The 17,555-nt window shown below is 49.3% G+C and overlaps 1 protein-coding gene across 25 annotated transcripts in view, besides 3 other annotated features; it reads right to left on the bottom strand.

The window, feature by feature from the left end:
• The window catches only part of CAMTA1 (calmodulin binding transcription activator 1), a 984,253-nt gene that overhangs the window by 787,042 nt on the left and 179,656 nt on the right, over positions 1-17,555 (bottom strand). The window lies entirely within an intron of this gene.
• Positions 2,315-3,160: an enhancer, noted in NCBI's record as "H3K27ac-H3K4me1 hESC enhancer chr1:7039565-7040410 (GRCh37/hg19 assembly coordinates)". NCBI's record gives its function as "activates a minimal SCP1, AML or CMV promoter by ChIP-STARR-seq in primed H9 embryonic stem cells {active_cell/tissue: H9 hESC(primed)}" and the evidence as "EXISTENCE:reporter gene assay evidence [ECO:0000049][PMID:30033119]".
• Positions 10,065-10,265: a silencer, noted in NCBI's record as "peak33 fragment used in MPRA reporter construct". NCBI's record gives its function as "represses an SCP1 promoter by STARR-seq MPRAs in K562 erythroleukemia cells {active_cell/tissue: K562}" and the evidence as "EXISTENCE:reporter gene assay evidence [ECO:0000049][PMID:32103011]".
• Positions 12,806-13,306: an enhancer, noted in NCBI's record as "H3K4me1 hESC enhancer chr1:7029419-7029919 (GRCh37/hg19 assembly coordinates)". NCBI's record gives its function as "activates a minimal SCP1, AML or CMV promoter by ChIP-STARR-seq in primed H9 embryonic stem cells {active_cell/tissue: H9 hESC(primed)}" and the evidence as "EXISTENCE:reporter gene assay evidence [ECO:0000049][PMID:30033119]".

Here is a 17,555-nt window from a genome sequence, read left to right as displayed (position 1 = left end):
GGGAGCCAGAACCCGGGGCCATGCTGCCTGTGACTTTGGGGAAGGGCGCTAGATCATGAGACAAGTACTTGGGACACTTAAGAAGTAGCTAAGGGCCTCCCGAGGGTGAAATTCAGGCAGGAAACACTTGTTCCAAGGGCTGTGCCACCCACCCCCATAAGGAGCCTGCTGAAGGCCCCCACTCTGGCCCCTCCTCCCGCTCTCCATGTCACAGGCAATGAGAGGTGCCTCTCCAGGATCTGCCCTCATTTCCAAGTTGATGGGATTCCCAATTGCCTGTGGCCAGCATGGGAGAGGGAAATGTCACTTCCTGGGCACAGCTTGGGAGCTCTGTCCATCATCTCCAGCCCTAAAGACTGTTCTCCCCATTGCTGCTCTAGGAGGCTTCTGGGATGACTCCTAGGGGATCTCCCAGACACTGGCCATCGGCGCACCTACCAGAGAACACTCAGGGAGTGCTCTGTGGGTTTACAGTGTAACTAGCTGGAGAAGCAGCATGTGCTCTAGGGAGAAAAGCACCAGGCTGAGAGTCAAGAAGGCCCGCTTCCTAACACTGTGCAGCCATCCAAATGTTTCTTTAAAAACATAGAAAAACATTTATTATCTAATGCAATTAAAAATACATCATGTATTAAATGTCAAAAAAATACATTATGCCTGTAATCCCAGCACTTTGGGAGGCTGAGGCAGGAGGATCACTGGAGCCCAGGAGTTTAAGAGAGGCCTGGGCAACATAGCAAGACTCTGCCTCTACAAAACAATTTAAAAATTAGTGGGGCATGGTGGTGTGCACCTGTTATCCTAGCTACTTGGAAGGCTGAGGCACAAAGATCACTTGAGCCCAGGAGTCAGCACTGCAGCAAGCTGTGATTGCACCACTGCACTCCAGCCTGGCAACAGAGCAAGATTCTGTCTCAGAAATAATAATAGGCCAGGCATGGTGGCTCATGCCTGTAATTCCAGCACTTTGGGAAGCTGAGGTAGGAGGATCACTTGAATCCAGGAGTTTAAGACCACCCTAGGCAACATAATAGGGAGAACTTGTCTCCACAAAAAAATTAAAAATTAGCCATGTGTAGTGGTGCATGCCTATGGTCCCAGCTACTCAGAAGGCTGAGATGGGAGGATCACTTGAGCCCAGGAGGTTAAGGCTGCGGTGAGCCATGATCACACTACTGCACTCCGGCCTGGGTTTCAGAGTGAGACCCTGCCTCAAAAAAATAAATAAAATAATAATGAGAATTAGAGTGCAAAATTGTACAGAGTAAGAAATTCTGCTATGTAAAAATACATAAGTAAAAATCTGTAAATTGATTAAATGTGGGGCAATTACCATCTTCTAAAGTACTTTTTGAATTTTTCAGCTTTTCTTCAAGGAGCACGTGCTACTATTAGAAATGGCCACATCCTTTATTGGAAATTCTGAAATCCTAAAAGTTCCAGGAATCCAATGTCTTTTTCTTCAACTTGGCACCTTTTAGTGGCCACATTTAATCTGAACTGACATCATCTATTGCCCTTATTGGTCCCACTTGGTGTATTTACGTCTTACTGCAGAAATATCAGTGCGTTTGCTCATTGGGGGCTGTTCTCAGAGCCACCGAGACTGTGCCAGCACGTACCCTCAGTTACTCCTCTGGAATCCAGAGAGTTCTGAATTCTGTAACAGAACTGACTCCAAGGGTTTCCGATGAGGGAACCACACACCCAGTGACAGCAAAGGAAGCCCAAGGCTCTAGGCTCAATCTCGTATCCTCTGTGACTTGCTGTGTGTATTAGTCTGTTCTCACACTGCTAATAAAGACATACCCAAGACTGAGTAATTTATAAAGAAAAGAGGTTTAATGGACTCACAGTTCCACATGGCTGGGGAGGCCTCATGATCATGGCGGAAGGCAAAGGAGAAGCAAAGTCACATCTCGCATGGTGGCAAGCAAAGGAGTGTGTGTGCAGGGGAACTCCCCTTTTCAAAACCATTAGATCTCCTGAGACTTAGTCACTATCATGAGAAGAGCACAGGAAAGACCCACCCCTGCCATGACTTGATTACCTCCTACCAAGTCCCTCCCAAGACACATGGGAATTATGGGAGCTACAATTCAAGATGAGATTTGGGTGGGGACACAGACAAACCAAATCACTGTATAACCTAACAGAAGTCACGTCCCTCTAGGGCCTCAATTTCCAGATCTGCCCCATGAAGAATGAAGATCTGTAAGTCTCTCTGGGTCTGTCACTCCACGGGCTCGTGACTCCCGGTGCTACTTCAATGCAGTGCAGAGTCCCTAAAGGGGATCCCACCCCTCCAGCCCACCTAATACCAGCCACTTCCATCCTTGGCTGGCCAGAGAGAGGAGCCCCGGGCCTAAGGAGGGAGACAGAGGATTCTGGATGTCCAATGGTAGCAGAATGGTAAGGGCCCATCAGGCAAGACAGCACCTGCCCTCGACTCCACCCCGACTTGTAGGCCCCCAACAGGCGAGACTTCAGCACAGCTGCAGGTGAGCAAAGGACTCACAGCTTCTCCAGTAAGTGCTCCTGGAGGGGCTGTCAGTAAGAGGCACGCCCTCCAAGGGTGCTTCTCTCTGAAAGAAAAGCTCATGGGGGTAAGGTCTCAATAGTGAGATTTTAAGGACTTGAATAACAGAGGAACAGGTGGGATGGGGGTGCGTTTTTCTATGTCCCACAATTCACAGCACTGAGACTCCCCCGTCTTCATGCGCACATAGTGGGCTGAGCCCTCAAACAGCTGTGGAGAGCCAGGAAAGCTAGATGAGGGGACAGTGTTGCACACGCCGGGGGTCCTCTCCCCCAGCTACACCACCATGAGAGGACAGTGTCCCGGGTGCCGGGGGTCCTCTCCCCCAGCTACGCCACCATGAGGCGACAGTGTCCCAAGCACTGGGGGTCCTCTCCCCCAGCTACACCACCACCAGCTCAGCTTCATGATTTTTAGTTTTCTTCTAATTTTAGGATGGTAGCAGCGTTCTAAGAACGCCTCTAAGTGTTTTAGGGAGATGGTAATGGTCCTACACTAAAATAATTCAACCAACACTATAATTTTAGTGCCACCATCAAAATGAAATAATGGCTGTTTACTATGTTACACCTTTCAAATGACCTTCATTTGAATACAAATTGTGGCTTGAAATTCTAAAAGCTGCTCAGTTCCAGAAGGCTGCAAAATGCAGGAATCCAACAAGGGCTGCTCTTCCCAGAGACTCCTCCCCATATGCACACGGTTTAAATGGATCTTTCTCTGGAGCTGCTGGAGACCCATTTAGCACCTTGATGCAGAATTGAATGGCCCTGACTGGGCAAAATAGGCCCAGGAGTTGGAGGAGGCGGCAGCTGCCTGCAGAGTGGGAGAGGGAGCAGCACCTAGGAAGCCCCCCTGTGCCGGAGACCCTGTGCAGGAGCTGGGAGAGTTCAGGAAACTTCCTCCAAGGGGGCAGGGATGGGGCTGCCCTGCCAGGCCTGGTCCACCCCTCCAGCTCTCCCCAATGTCTTTCAGCCACATCCTAGCTTCCCTCTCGTTTTCCTTCCCCTGCTGTCCTCCGCACTCCCTCCTCCAGCCACACCAACAACTCACTAAGGGGTACTGAACCTCACCTCAGCCTGTCTCCTCTGTGTCTTTGTTCAGATGCCCACTCAGCCAGGTGCAAGGGAGAGCGAGCTCCCCAGGCTAATACCTGCCTGTTCACGATGCATCCACCACACAAGCATTTACTGACGGGTGTGGAGACAGACAGGGATGGTTGTCTCTTCTATGCTCATCCAGTACCTCCAGGTCCAGGGTGTCCTGCTCAGCTCTGTATCCCAAACACCGAGCAATTAATGTTTGTTGAGTTGAAATGTCATCTCTAGATGCTTCCTAGACTCACCAATAGAATACATCCATCCTGTCTAAAACATGCGGTCATTATTACTGACTTTAATTTTTAATTTTTGCAGGTGCATTGTAGATATATATATATCTATAATATATAAAATATAAAAATATAATATTAACTATATATATGTATTTTTTTTAGATGGAGTCTCGCTCTGTTGCCCAGGCTGGAGTGCAGTGGCGCAATCTCAGCTCACTGCAACCTCCGACTCCTGGGTTCAAGTGACTCTCCTGCCTCAGCCTCTCGAGTAGCTGGGATTATAGGCACCTGCCACCACGCCCAGCTAATTTTTGCATTTTTAATAGAGACAGAGTTTCACCAGGTTGGCCAGGCTGGTCTCAAACTCCTGCCCTCGGGTGATCCACCCACCTCAACCTCCCAAAGTGCTGGGATAACAGGCGTGAGCCACCGTGCCTGGCCTGGTGTATACATTTATGGGGTACATAAGATGTTTTGATACAGCCATGCAGTGCATAATAATCACATCACGGAGAATGAGGAATCCATCCCCTCAAGCATTTATCTTTTGTGTTAAAACAATCGAATTATACTTTTTTTGTTATTTTCAAATGTACAATTAAGTTATTATTGACTCTAGCCACCCTGTTATGCTATCGAATACTAGGGTCTTATTCATTCTATTATAACTATTTTTTTTAACCCATTAGCCAATCTCCAGCGCCCTGACCACCACCACACCCCCACTACCCTTCCTGGCCTCTGGTAACCATCCTTCTACCCTCTACCTCCACGTGTTTAACTGTTTTGATTGTTAGATCCCACAAAGAAGTGAGAACATGTGAAGACTGTCTTTCTGTGTCTGGTTTATTTCACTTAACATAATGACCTCCAGTTCCATTCATGCTGTTGCAAATAACAGGATCTCACTCTTTTTTATGGCTGAATGGTACTCTGTTGTGTATAAATACCACATACTACTGGCTTGTTTACACTCAAAGGAAAATTTTTTAAAACCCAGGTTCAGCACTTTTTAGATACGTGACTTAGGCTAAGCACTCAATCTCTCTAAACCTTGGTTTCCATACCTCTAAAGCTGTAATAATCACCCAATCTACCCAGTGGGCTGCTGTGAAGAGTAAATGACATGATATGCTTAAAAAAGCTTAGTCCAGGCTGGGCGCAGTGGCTCACGCCTGTAATCCCAGCACTTTGGGAGGCCGAGGCGAGTGGATCCCAAGGTCAGGAAATCGATACCATCCTGGCTGACATGGTGAAACCTCGTCTGTACTAAAAATACAAAAAATTAGCCAGGTGTGGTGGCACGCACGTGTAGTCCCAGCTACTCGGGAGGCTGAGGCTGGAGAATTTCTTGAACCTGGGAGGTGGAGGTTGCAGTGAGCCGAGACTGCGCCACTGCACTCCAGCCTGGGTGACAGAGCAACAGAGCAAGACTCCTTCTCAAATTAAAAAAAAAAAAAAGCTTTGCCCAGTACTTGGCTCCAACATAACCCCACTGGCACCGAGTGAACAGAAGTATGCGGCAAGAGCTGTAGTTACTGTTGTGCTGGGCATCGGCATCTGTTGATGGCACCCAGCCTGCCCAGCTTATTCTCCGATGTCCTCCGCAGGTTGCAACTTCCAACAGCAGGACCCGACCCACACGACCTTCTCCCCCATCCAGTGCCCCTGTGTATTAGTCTGTTCTGACGCTGCTAATAAAGACAGACCCGAGACTGGATAATTTATAAAGGAAAGAGGTTTAAGGGACTCACAGTTCCACATGGCTAGGGAGGCCTCACAATCATGGTGAAAGGCAAAGGAGAAGAGAAGGCATGTCTTACATGGCAGCAGGCAAGAAATCATGTGCAGGGGAACTGCCCTTTATAAAACCATCAGATTTTGTGAGACTTATTCACTATCACGAGAACAGCATGGGAAAGACCCGTCCCCATGGTTCTATTACCTCCCACTGAGTCCCTCCCACAACAAGTGGGAATTATGGGAGTTACAATTCAAGATGAGATTTGGGTGGGGACACAGCGAAACCATATCACCCTGTGCTTGCTATTTGCCTGACATGTCTGGAATATTCTCTTCCCTCCTCTGCTGATGCTCGGCACATCCATCCTTCACGGAGAGCTTGGCTCCTCCCTCTCAGAAAGCCCTCCTGGATCATCCTGGCCCATGTCCTTTCCTCCTGGGCAAGCCACTCACCTAGGGTCCATCACAGATGCTCTACTGCTCCCGAGAGCCTGGCTTTCACGTGGATCTGCTCTCTCTGAAAGGTAGATTCCATAAAGATGGATTCTGTGGGATCCCTTGTCTCCCACGTCCCCCTTGCACAGTCCAGCAGCCAACTGAACTCTGTGCCTGCCAACACTCTGAAAGGCAAGGCACAGGTGGAAACGCCTATTTCTCCCCTTCCCATCAGCCACCACACAATCCTCACCCCAGGCCCAGTTTTCCAGGCCAGAAGTGCCAGATCCGTCTCCCTGCCCCATCTCACACACACACAGCAGGAGGTCCTGCTGATGAGTTCTCCTTGACATGCATGCAGTCACACTTCTCCGGCTGTTCCTCGTCCTGACCTTTGTGGCCTTCTTCCAAGAAGCCCAAGAAAGACTCAGCGGGGCCTCTGCCTCCAGGCACTGACTGTTTCGTTTTGTCCCATGATCAGATTGATCTTCCTGGAACCCCAACTCAATTAGGTCAAAGTCTGACTCCAACAGCTTTGCTTTAGGCATCCTGGTGCCTGGCTCGAGTGAGCATTCAAGATGCTCTGGTCTCTGTCCACATCGCAGAGTGTCACTCAGCAGCGGAAAGGAAGGGAGTACTGACGCTCGCCGCGGCAGGGAAGAACAGATCATGACACTGAGTGAAAGAAGGCGGTTACCAAAGGCCACATACTGCACTATCCTGTTTACATGAAATGTCTAGAATAGGCAGATCCATAGAGATAGAAAGCAGATTGGTGGTTGCCAAGGGCTGGGAGGAAGTTGGGGGCTTGGGGGTGATAGCTGAGGAGTACAAGGCTTCCTTTTGGGGCGATTAAAATGTTTTAAAATTGGTTGTAGTGTGGCTGCACAACTCTGTGAGTATACTAAAACCACTGAATTGTAGGCTTTACATGAGTGAATTGTACCCATCTAAAGCCTACAATTCTGTCTCAATGAAGCCGTTATTATGCTCCAAGCAGGCTCCACCTCCTCCTCTCCTGCCACGCTCCCCATCAGCTTGAACAACTGTCATTGCATTCAGCCTGCCCAACAAATGCCCATCCTTCAAGGCCCAGCTCCCCAGACTCTCGTAGCATTCGTTCATTCTTGCAGTCAACAAACGATGACCGTCCCTCCTGGGAATTCCACAGCAAACAGCGCACAGAGGAGCATCCCCAAGAGCCCACAGTCTGATGAAAAACAAACAATAACAACAAACAAAGCAGCAAGCCACAGGACAATTTGCATGCAGTGACGCTAACCATGCCACTCCGCTGCTTCTTAATTTTTACCGAAATTTTCAGGGTTTACTCCTGTTCCTCTTACAAAGATCCTGAGCCCCGCAAGAGCAGGGACAACATGCTGAACGTCCCTATTTTTCCCCAAGGCTCACACTGATGGTGGTGGGGGGAGACAGTGTGGAATGCTCGGCTTCCAGCTCTGCCACCTTCCAGCTCTGGTGTGACTCGAGGCAGGCCCCGTCATCTCAGCCCTGCAGCATCCTCCCCCAGAAAACAGAGATGGCGCCTCCTTCACGAGAAGGACCATGGGTGGCAGGGTGATTTATTGATAATTTAAGTTGGCAGGATAATCTGTCCAAAAATTAACTTGTATCTTGTAAACTCGTCAGAAGTGAAGGAGAGTTATTTTCCCCTTGTCCAAGGAAGATAGCAAGCCTTATGTTTATTCCAACAAATACTTGATATTTGTCAGATAAATTTTTTTTATTATTAGATGGCAAAAGGCCGTCTAAGCCCAAGGGAAGAAGACAGAGAAAAGTATTCTAAGGGGATGTGGCCCCACCTGGGCCGTGATCAAAGGAACCTGCAAAATGCAATGCGTCTTTGCCAAACTGAAGCCTTCTGAGCCCAGTTCCAAAGTGCTAGGAAACCCCAGTCTGGATGCACAGACTGTCTTCCAGGACGTCCGTGCGGCAGGTAAGAGGAGTCGGCTTCCTCAAAGACTCCCTCCGAGCAGCCTCCCTGCCCGACCAACATTCACAGGGAGCGCACAGGAGGTTGGATAAGCCTGGACCTTCCATCTCCCTGGCCTCGCCTCACTCCCAACTCTGGGACAGAACTGAACACCACCATCATTTACTTCAATCCCTCAGCTTGTTTAAGAAAAATTGCTTGTCTACAGTTGCAGGCCACCATGCTGTGTGCCACCCCATTTAGAGTTTATTTTACATTAAATCTCCAAGCTAGAGACCCTCCAGTTGGTCTGCATAAAGCAGAATTATTGGTCCAAGTGTTTTTAAAAATAGATGCAAGCCTAGACCCCAAGAAACTGAAGGGATATTATGGGAATACACAACTGTATTGTTTTGTTACTGTATGAAAAATTGGATTCTCCGACTCCGGGTTTCCCCTCCTGCTCCCAGGTTCCTCCCTCTCCTTGTTCCTCACTGGAGATGCTGCTGCAGCTCCTGGCACTGAGAACAATATATTACAAACCAGAGCAGCCCAGACCGAGCTCCACACACTGTGTGGGCCCCCAGTAAGCTCCAGCCTGTCTGTCTGTCTTCAGACAAATGCCATTCTGGGCCAAACGTTAAATAATGAGAACCCCACAAAAATTCAACCGCAGCTTCAAGCTGGATTTGAGGATCACATTTCACACAGGCTTCCACAAAAGTGGGTCCTGACAGAGGAAGTTCCTTTTGGCGCTGAGATTCAGAAACGTGAAAGCCCCTTCCCCGGCTGTGGGAAGGTGGGGCAGGAGGCAGCACTAGCTTCCACCTCCCGCCAGCCACTGTAGAAGGGAGATGAGGCGATACTTTCATTCGCTCTCAGGGCCACATGAACAGCCATGGGACCAAGAATGCCACGGTCCAGGTGAGGGCTGAGTCTTTACAAGGTCGGTGTCACCCAGCAGATGACAAAACCAAAGAGGTTCAGAATCGTGGCCACTGTCAAGATAAATTAGGATATGATCCAGCAATCCCACTTCTGAGTATTTATCCAAAACAAGTCATATCTGAATCTCAAAGAGATATTAGCACTCCCGTGCCCACTGCAGCACTATTCACAAAAGCCCAAACGTGGAAACCACCTAAATGTCCACCAACAGATGCGTGCATAAAGGGAGCGTGGGATATACACATGGTAGAATATTATTCAGCCTTCAAAAAGAAGGAGATCTTGCAGCATGTGACAACATGGATGAGCCCAGAGGACACTATGCTATGTGAAAGAATCCAGTCACAGAAGGACAAATGCTGCATGATTCTCCTTATGTGAGGTATCAAAAATGGTCAAACCCCTAGAAGCAATGACTGCAGTGGTGGTTGTCAGGAGCTAGATGGGGGAGGAAATAGGGAGTTGATGTTCAACATGTATAAAATTTCAGTCATGCAAGATGAGTTCGTCCTGGAGATCTGCCACACAGCATCATGCCTAAAGATAGCAACACATGTTGTACACTTAAAAATCTGTTCAGACGGCTAGGCGTGGTGGCTCATGCCTGTAATCCCAGCACTTTGGGAGGCCGAGGTGGATGGATCACCTGAGGTCAGGAGTTCAAGACCAGCCTGGCCAACGTGACAAAACCCCATCTCTACTAAAAATACAAAAATTAGCCAGGCATGGTGGTGGGTGCCTGTAATCCCAGCTACTTGGGAGGCTGAGGCAGGAGAATCACTTGAACCTGGGAGGCGGGGGTTACCGTGAGCCAAGATCACACCGCTGCACTCCAGCCTGGGCAAACAGAGCAACACTCCGTCTCAAAAAAGGGAAAGGGAAAAGGAAAAGGAAAAGGAAAGGAAAAATCTGTTAAGAGGATGGAGTTCACGTTTAGCATTCTTACCAAAACAATAATAATAGTAAAAGAAACAATTAGGTTCAGGCTGTGTTTGGAGACAGAAAGACGTCTACACTGACTCCACACTCAGCCAGGAAGCACAGGCAGAATTCAGGCTTTGGCCCCTCTAATCAGCACTTCCCTGGCCAACTGCCAGCCCCTAAGACAGCCAGATAGGACTTCCCTCTTTGCCTCAACACCATTCTCCTGGAACATAAGCTCACCGAGGGCAGGGACCGTGTTGCCTGGTCAGCACCCTGATGCTGGGAAAGAGCAGCCTGGCACACGGCAGGCAAGGGATGAATAAAGGCTAATTGCAGAAATCAGCACACAGAAGTGCTTACTAAACACAGATCCTTTCTCCAGATGCAAAAAAAAGAAGTAAAAATTCAAACAGTTGTCGAATGTCAAATCAATATTAATTTACTCAAAGGCATGAGTAAATGTCTTAACGGAGGTTTTTCTGCCTTTATTAAAGGCAACCGGCCAGGTGTGTCACTAGGAGCACACACGGGACTTTCAGTTACTTGTTACTCTTCCCTGCAATTTACATAGGCTCACAATCTTAGATGTCATAAAGCCAAGTTCCCTCACCACTGGGGTGACAGGGCAGTCACCCCCTTCTCTGCACAATAACCCCCCTGCCTTAGCAAACCTTCCCAACAGGGAAGCCCCTTGTTGGGAGGAAAATGAGAAGCAAAGGACACTTCTGACCCAGTTCTCCTTCTGGGGCCTTCACTCTACCCCCGCCCCTCCTTCTCCAACAATGTCAAATTACAAAGTCCTGCCCTGCACACCTCATCAAGACGATCAGTCTCCTGCTCACGGCCTGTCCAGAACACAAGGCCAACCCTCAGCACCTGCCCGCGATGCTCTCCTCTCCTCTCTCCAGGCCAGCTCTGGCTTTTTGGGGAGGCTGACGGGCCTTGCTGACGCCAATGGCAGCGGAGCCAAGTCACACCTGGGTTAGCAGTGATAATGCCATTGCTGAGACCCGGGGGCGGCCACAGGCAGGCCTGGCCTTTTCTTCTCTTTCCTTTTTCCTTCGGAGAGCAGGAATCCACACCAATCACTTACCTAATAAGCATGGAGGATGGTCATGGGGGTTTTTATCCCAGCCACAGACACCATTATCCTGCCCCAAATCAGCTCTAACACAACAAGGAATTCAGAGTCATTAAATGCCTTTTAATAAAAGGCCTGCCTGTGGATCTAGTTTTCGGTTAGAGACTTACCCAGAAGGCACTTTGGCCCCTGAGCAACTCCAAAGACAACGTAAAATTAGTAGTGAGGGTGGGGGTGGTAAAAACAAAACCAAATCAAACCGGACTCCCCCACTGAGGGGCTTGCAAACAGTTTGGGATAGCACAATTTCAGGATTTCTATTTATTCTCAGTCCTCATTAAAGTGGCAGCAGAATGACACGGATACAATCCGATCGTCTGCTATTTGATTACCTTTTTATAAGCGTGCTGCCACAAAGAAGAAAGTTCAACACTCCAGCAAAAGAGGCGTTGCTATAAATACTCCCACTCCCAGACAGCCACGTGTAATTACTCATCAGGAGTGGGGAGCATGAGGAGCGAGGCCCATCGTGTGCTCTTCTCCAGCAGGAACGTCTCATGCTCACTCTGTTAATTACTTCAAGGTTTCTTCTGTGTCTGCTTTGTGCTCACTGACACTCCTAGGACCACAATGGAGCTGGCTGCTGGGTGACAGAAAGCCAAGCCCCTTTGGAAAGAAGAGGGGCTTCCAAAGCCCTGAGAAGGAAGGAAGGCCCGAACCAGAGGGTCTTCCCTCCAAAGGCCAGGGAGTGAAGTTTGGAGCCAGGCTGACAGGGCCGGCCTGGTTTAGGAAAGGAGAGGCTGGAAACAGACACAGCAGTGGTCCCTGCAGAGGACCACAGCCAGCAACGGTCCATGCAGACACTACCACTGGCCTCAGGGAACACCTGGCTGTTCATTCTCCTGAGGTTGTTGGGTCTGTTCTGTTCTCCATCTGTCTCCTTTTGCCAGGTTATCTTCAGATCTCCACTGAGATAGCACTTGCTATAGTAGAATGTCCTGACCCACCAGGACTGGATGATACGTCCTGAACAGGTGCTCTAGTAGCCCCCTGTGCTTCTGATATGCACATCGATCACATTCCTAACTATTGCCTGCTTGTCTCTCCCATCCCAACATCAGTTCTGTGGAGTCTTCAGACTCACGGTATCCTTCAGGCCTCAGGTGGAGTCCCTGGGTCCTGTCGCCACATCCTTTGCCAGGCCCTTGGAGTGACCCCCTCCAAGCCGAGAGTCCCTGGCCTGGCAAGAACCCCCATTACCTCCTCACCGATGCTGGTCTGGGACCGGCCTCCACTCCTTCTGCTGCCTCCCACTCCCTGCCACCCATTCCGCCTCCTGGAATGCTGTCTGTGAGCACTCCACGGCTCCAATACATATGGAGGATGCTTATGGCACGTCGTGCAAGCAAAGCAGGACATAAGGTCCCGTACACATTAGGATTACAGATACACTAAATATATGCATGTGGACCAAAAAAGGCACAGAGATGCGCTGAAATCACTGAGAGTGGTAGGGAAATGGAAATGTTTTCTTTCCATGTCCCTCAATTTCTGGAAGATTATTATATAATTTTATAACAAAAATACATTTGTAATTTAAAATAGTCTTACAGAGATGGTGAACAAATTAGTGGTTGACTGGGGTTAGAGATCCTGGGAGGGAGAGGGTGAGTTGACCACACAGGGTTGGTGGGAGGATGTCTGTGGAGATGGAACAATTCTGCACCTTGACTGTGGTGGTGGTGACACAAATTTGCACGTGTGACATGAAGCAACACAGAACTGCACATGTGCACTGTATCGACATCTGGGTCCTGGCTGTGATACTGTCAGGTAAGATGAAGCCATTGCAGAAAGGAGACCAAGGCTACATGAGGCCCCCTGAACTCTCTTTGCAAATTCCTGTAATAATAATAAATAAATTTCAAAATAAAAAGTTTAAAATACATCTAACTATGGTCTACACCCATTGCTGAGGAATGTGGATGAAGTTTAAATCGTAGGCCTACACTGGCTTTGAAGGCCAATAAACACCCATCCAACCTTTATTTTGTAAATATGGGAAGACACAGAGCCTGCAAAGAAACCCCAAAGGTAGGTGCCCATCTCACAGATGAGGAAGCTGAGGCAGGAAAAGTGCACTGAGCTGGAACAAGCCTGAAGTCCAAGGCCTGCATGAAAAAGCTCATCTCACTGGGCACCACCAGTTCCCACTACATCATCTGGGCCCTCCTCACCGCCCCAAAGCAGATGTGATCATCCGGGGGAGGAGCCGGACCAGGTTCCAGGGCAAGCGGCAGTCCAACGGCTGGAGCCCAGGAACCCTCACCCAACCTAGCCGCTCACTCCCCCAACCTGGCCGCCTTTACTTCTGCAGCGTTCCTTGCCCCTTCTAGCTCCACTCAGGTCACAGGCATCCCGCTGCCGCCTCCACAAACCACAAACACCACCTCCTTCCTGCCCAGACTCCAAGTTCAGAGCCCCCAACCTGCATCCTGCTCAGAAGCTGCCTGATTTAGCATGGCTCGGGCTGATCCAACAAGTGCCCTTTGCGGTAGACAAGGCATCTGGTTTAGCCCTCACTGAAAATGCCCACGGAGGCCAAGCAAGGACCCCTATGTATCTCAGCTGCCATTCTTGACCTCTTCTGGTCCACTCACCACAACCAGGAGCTTTCTAAGGCAAGACTGGCCCCTCTCTGTCCCGATAAAGTCAAACCCTTTAAATGTCCCTCAACTTGGCAAGACAGACTAGCTCCTTGGAGACAGACACCCCCTCGCCCCGTGCCTCTGCAGCCCACCTCAGCACACCTGTCCTCCACTAGCTCCATGCTGCAGCCACACTGGCGACTTGCAGCTCCCTAGTCACATCCCGCATTCTCTCCTTGAAGCACCTGCACATTCTGTTCCCTCTGACCAGGATGTTCTTCCCTGTAACCCGCCTCCCCCAAGCCCCCACCTCCACTCTCTCTATCCGTCTCCTTTTGCCAGGGTATCTTCAGATCTCCACTTAGATAGCACTTGCTACGGTAGAATTTCCGGTAGAATTTCCTGACCCACCGGGAATGGATGATACGTCCTGAACAGGTGCTCCAGTAACCCCTTGTGCTTCCGAGACACACATCGATCACAATCCTAACTACTGCCTGCTTGTCTCTCCTACCCTAACATCAGTTCCATGAGGACAAGGACCATATGCACTGCCCAGCACAGCACCTGGCACGCAGTAGGCACACAGTAAACATTTGTCATATAAATGAATTTCTGATGAAGAAGCTGACGTGACTTCCTGAGGCCATATACAAGGCAGGGAGCGGGGAGGAGAACTCTGGCGGTATCTCCACCGTGGGGGCTATGATCTTTCCAACCAAATAAAGGACGGGAGAGGGGCAAGGGCCATCCTTCCAGACTCTACTTCCGATCTTGTCCCAGCACAGAAAGAGCGGAGGGCAAGCCACGATACATGCCTTGCTCTCTCTGGGAGATTTCTAGATGCTGGAAAACACACCCGGGGCCACATTAAGAGCCGTTTTCTCGGCACACCAAGCGGACAGCCGACTGCTCCTGAGGGTGCCATCTGGGGCAGGGAGGGGCCAACGGAATTCGTGGGTTCCATGATGCAGGAGTAGAGGAAGCTATCTCCACAGCAAAGGGAATGAGCTGCTGAACGCTGCCAGCTCAGTTTGGCAATTTATCGATGTTCTTCGAGTTAAAGCATTATTACTAGTTTGCATATTTATAATGTGCCCTCTGGTTATTAACTGTGATATAATGCCAACTGAGAAAACCAAGAGACCTCAGAAATATTTACATAGCAGCATAATTAAGACTAAGAGCTGAGTCACCCAGGGATCCTACCGATTTTTCTGGAAGAGAAAAAATAGGACATTCTGACTTCACCCCCTGCCCTAAGATTCTCCCTAAATCTGAGCCAGGCAGAAGCCCACTGTGCCTCCTCCAATATCACTCTCAGCCTTCAGCAGAGATGCATGTCACCATCTATGAAATGCACAATTGCTTCCTCTCCACAGCAGCCTCAGCCCAGACTTTTCAAATGCTGGCTGAACCACACAGCACAGCCAGAGCTCATGGAGAGGAGCGGATGTGAGGCAGGAACACGTGGCCACCAGCCTAAGCTGCCCTAGAGCCCTCAACCACACCAACATCCCCTGGGAATCCTCAAACCTAGTGGCTGAAGGTCCCCTGAGATAGAGAATGCTCTCTGAATGGCAAGCAACAAAGACCCTCCCAGGACCCTAGCAGCAATCCTGGAGTCAGCCCTGAGGCCACATTCGCGGGTGGGGAGCTGGGAGGTGCAAAGCATGGGCTCTATGTTTTCCAGAGGAAACGCAGTTCCACCCCCCACCCCACCCCATCTCACTCCCTTCATCAACCCCCTATGTCTCCCTCAATCTAGAACTCCATTTTCTGAAAAAATTCAGGTGGGTTCCAATGGGCTTAACCCTGATTTTTTGGTTTTTTTGTTTTTGAAATGGAGTCTCACTCTGTCACCCAGGCTGGAGTGCAGTGGCACAGTCTCGGCTCACTGCAACCTCCACCTCCTGGGTTCAAGCAATTCTCCTGTCTCAGCTTCCCAAGCAGCTGGGACTACAGGTGCACACCACCACACCTGGCTACCTTCCGTATTTTAGTAGAGACAGGGTTTCACCATATTGGTCAGGCTGGTCTCAAACTCCTGACCTCAGGTGATCCACCCACCTCGGCCTCCCAAAGTGCTGGGATTACAGGCGTGAGCCACCGTGCCCAGTCTCAACCATGAATTTTTTCATGAGTATCTTTTACAATAAAAAAGGTTTTGGCCGGGCACGGTGGCTCATGCCTGTAATCCCAACACTTTGGGAGGCTGAGGAGGATGGATTGCCTGAGCTTAGGAGTTCGAGACCAGCCTGGGCAACACGGTGAAATCCAGTCTCTACTAAAATACAAAAAAATTATCTGGGCATGCCAGCATGTGCCTATAATCCCAGCTACTTGGAAGGCTGAGGCAGGAGAATTGCTAGAACCCAGGAGGTGGAGGTTGCAGTGAGCCGAAATCACACCACTTGCACTCCAGCCTGGGCAACAAAGCAAGACTCTGTCTCTAAAAAAAAAAAAAAAGGTTTCAAAAGTGTTTAGGGAAAATCAGCTGATGAATACATAAATAGAACGTATCTGTTCAGTGGAATATTACTCAGCCATAAAAAGGAATGAAGTTCTGGCACGTGCCACAGCATAAATGAACCTGGAAAACATTCTGCTGGGGGAAAGAAGCCAGAGACAAAAGGAAAAATACTGTATGGTTCCATTTATATGAAATGACCAGAGGCAGCAAATCAATAGAGACAGAAGTAGATGTATGGTCGTTTAGGGCTAGGGAGGATGAGGGGGTTGGGGTGACGGCTAAGAAGTGAGGGGTTTCTCTTGGGGTAACACAAATGTCCTAAAATAGACTGGGGCAATGGTTGCACGTTTTTGTGAATATACTAAAAGCCATGGAATTGAATACTTAAAATGAGTAAATTGCGTGATATGTTAATTACATCGTAATTTTAAAAATTAAAAAAGTGGGAAAAATTCCTGTTTGTCCTGGTGTGGGGCTTGAATCTGAGAGTGGCAGTCTCATCTAGGTCAGCCTGTGACAGGCACCTGGCCAGCGCGCAGCCCTGTGAAGCCTAACTCCTTCTCCTCTCCCGATGGTGTCCCCTCCCCATCCCCGAGATCCCCCACACACTCCCAAAGCCCTAGCTTGTTCTTGACCTAGGAAGCTGCTGCGACCAGTCCCAGAAAGATCCCAAGACAGAAAATCTAGTTTCCACAGGACACAACAAGCAGTAACTAATGCCAGACGTGCGGCATCGAGCTTGCAATAAATGTCATCCTGTTTGGCTTCTGAAAGGGTCTCTGATATGCAGTTAATGCCGCATTCAGGCTCCATCCAGACCTCATCACGGCGATATGCAAATGCAGCTTTTGTCACAACCGGCACTAACTCTAATAACTCCCAAAGCGAAAATGTTCTCATAAAAACCACCATAAAAAGTCCCTTATTTTATTGCCAGCTAAGTTTTCTTTACTTGTTGTCAGGACTTTCTCCTCACTGTTGATTAGCTAACAGGCGGCACGTCCATTTTTTTTCCTTTAGAGAAACCAGGGCACACAATCACCAACCTGTCCCCTCCCTCCATCTAGAGCCGCCTTGCTTCAGCTGCTACCAGTGCCCAGCCCCCTCTGAGCCAGGGGGGCTAATAAACCACATTTACCTTCCCCCACAGGCAGCTGAAATGCATTACCTTTGGTCTGCTGGTTGCACTCCCTGGTCAAATGGGAATATAAAAACCAGCCTTATTTATAACAACAGAATGCCTCTGCTCAAGTTAGAGCTGGCTGCGTGCCCCCTACACACACACCCACACACATACACACATGCACAGACACAAGCACACACTTAAACATGTGCATGCCCCCAGGAGCACGTGCCCACACACATGCACACATGCACAGACACACACAAGCACACAAAGTCATACACACACACTCATGCTCATACCACACTCACTACTTTTCCCGAAGTGGCTTTCACATATTAATACATCTCACCAGAAATACAGCCCTTCCGCTGG

Source organism: Homo sapiens, chromosome 1, assembly GCF_000001405.40.
Source record: "Homo sapiens chromosome 1, GRCh38.p14 Primary Assembly".
In the NCBI taxonomy this organism is placed as follows: domain Eukaryota; kingdom Metazoa; phylum Chordata; class Mammalia; order Primates; family Hominidae; genus Homo; species Homo sapiens.
This window is presented reverse-complemented; position numbering and strand designations above follow the sequence as displayed.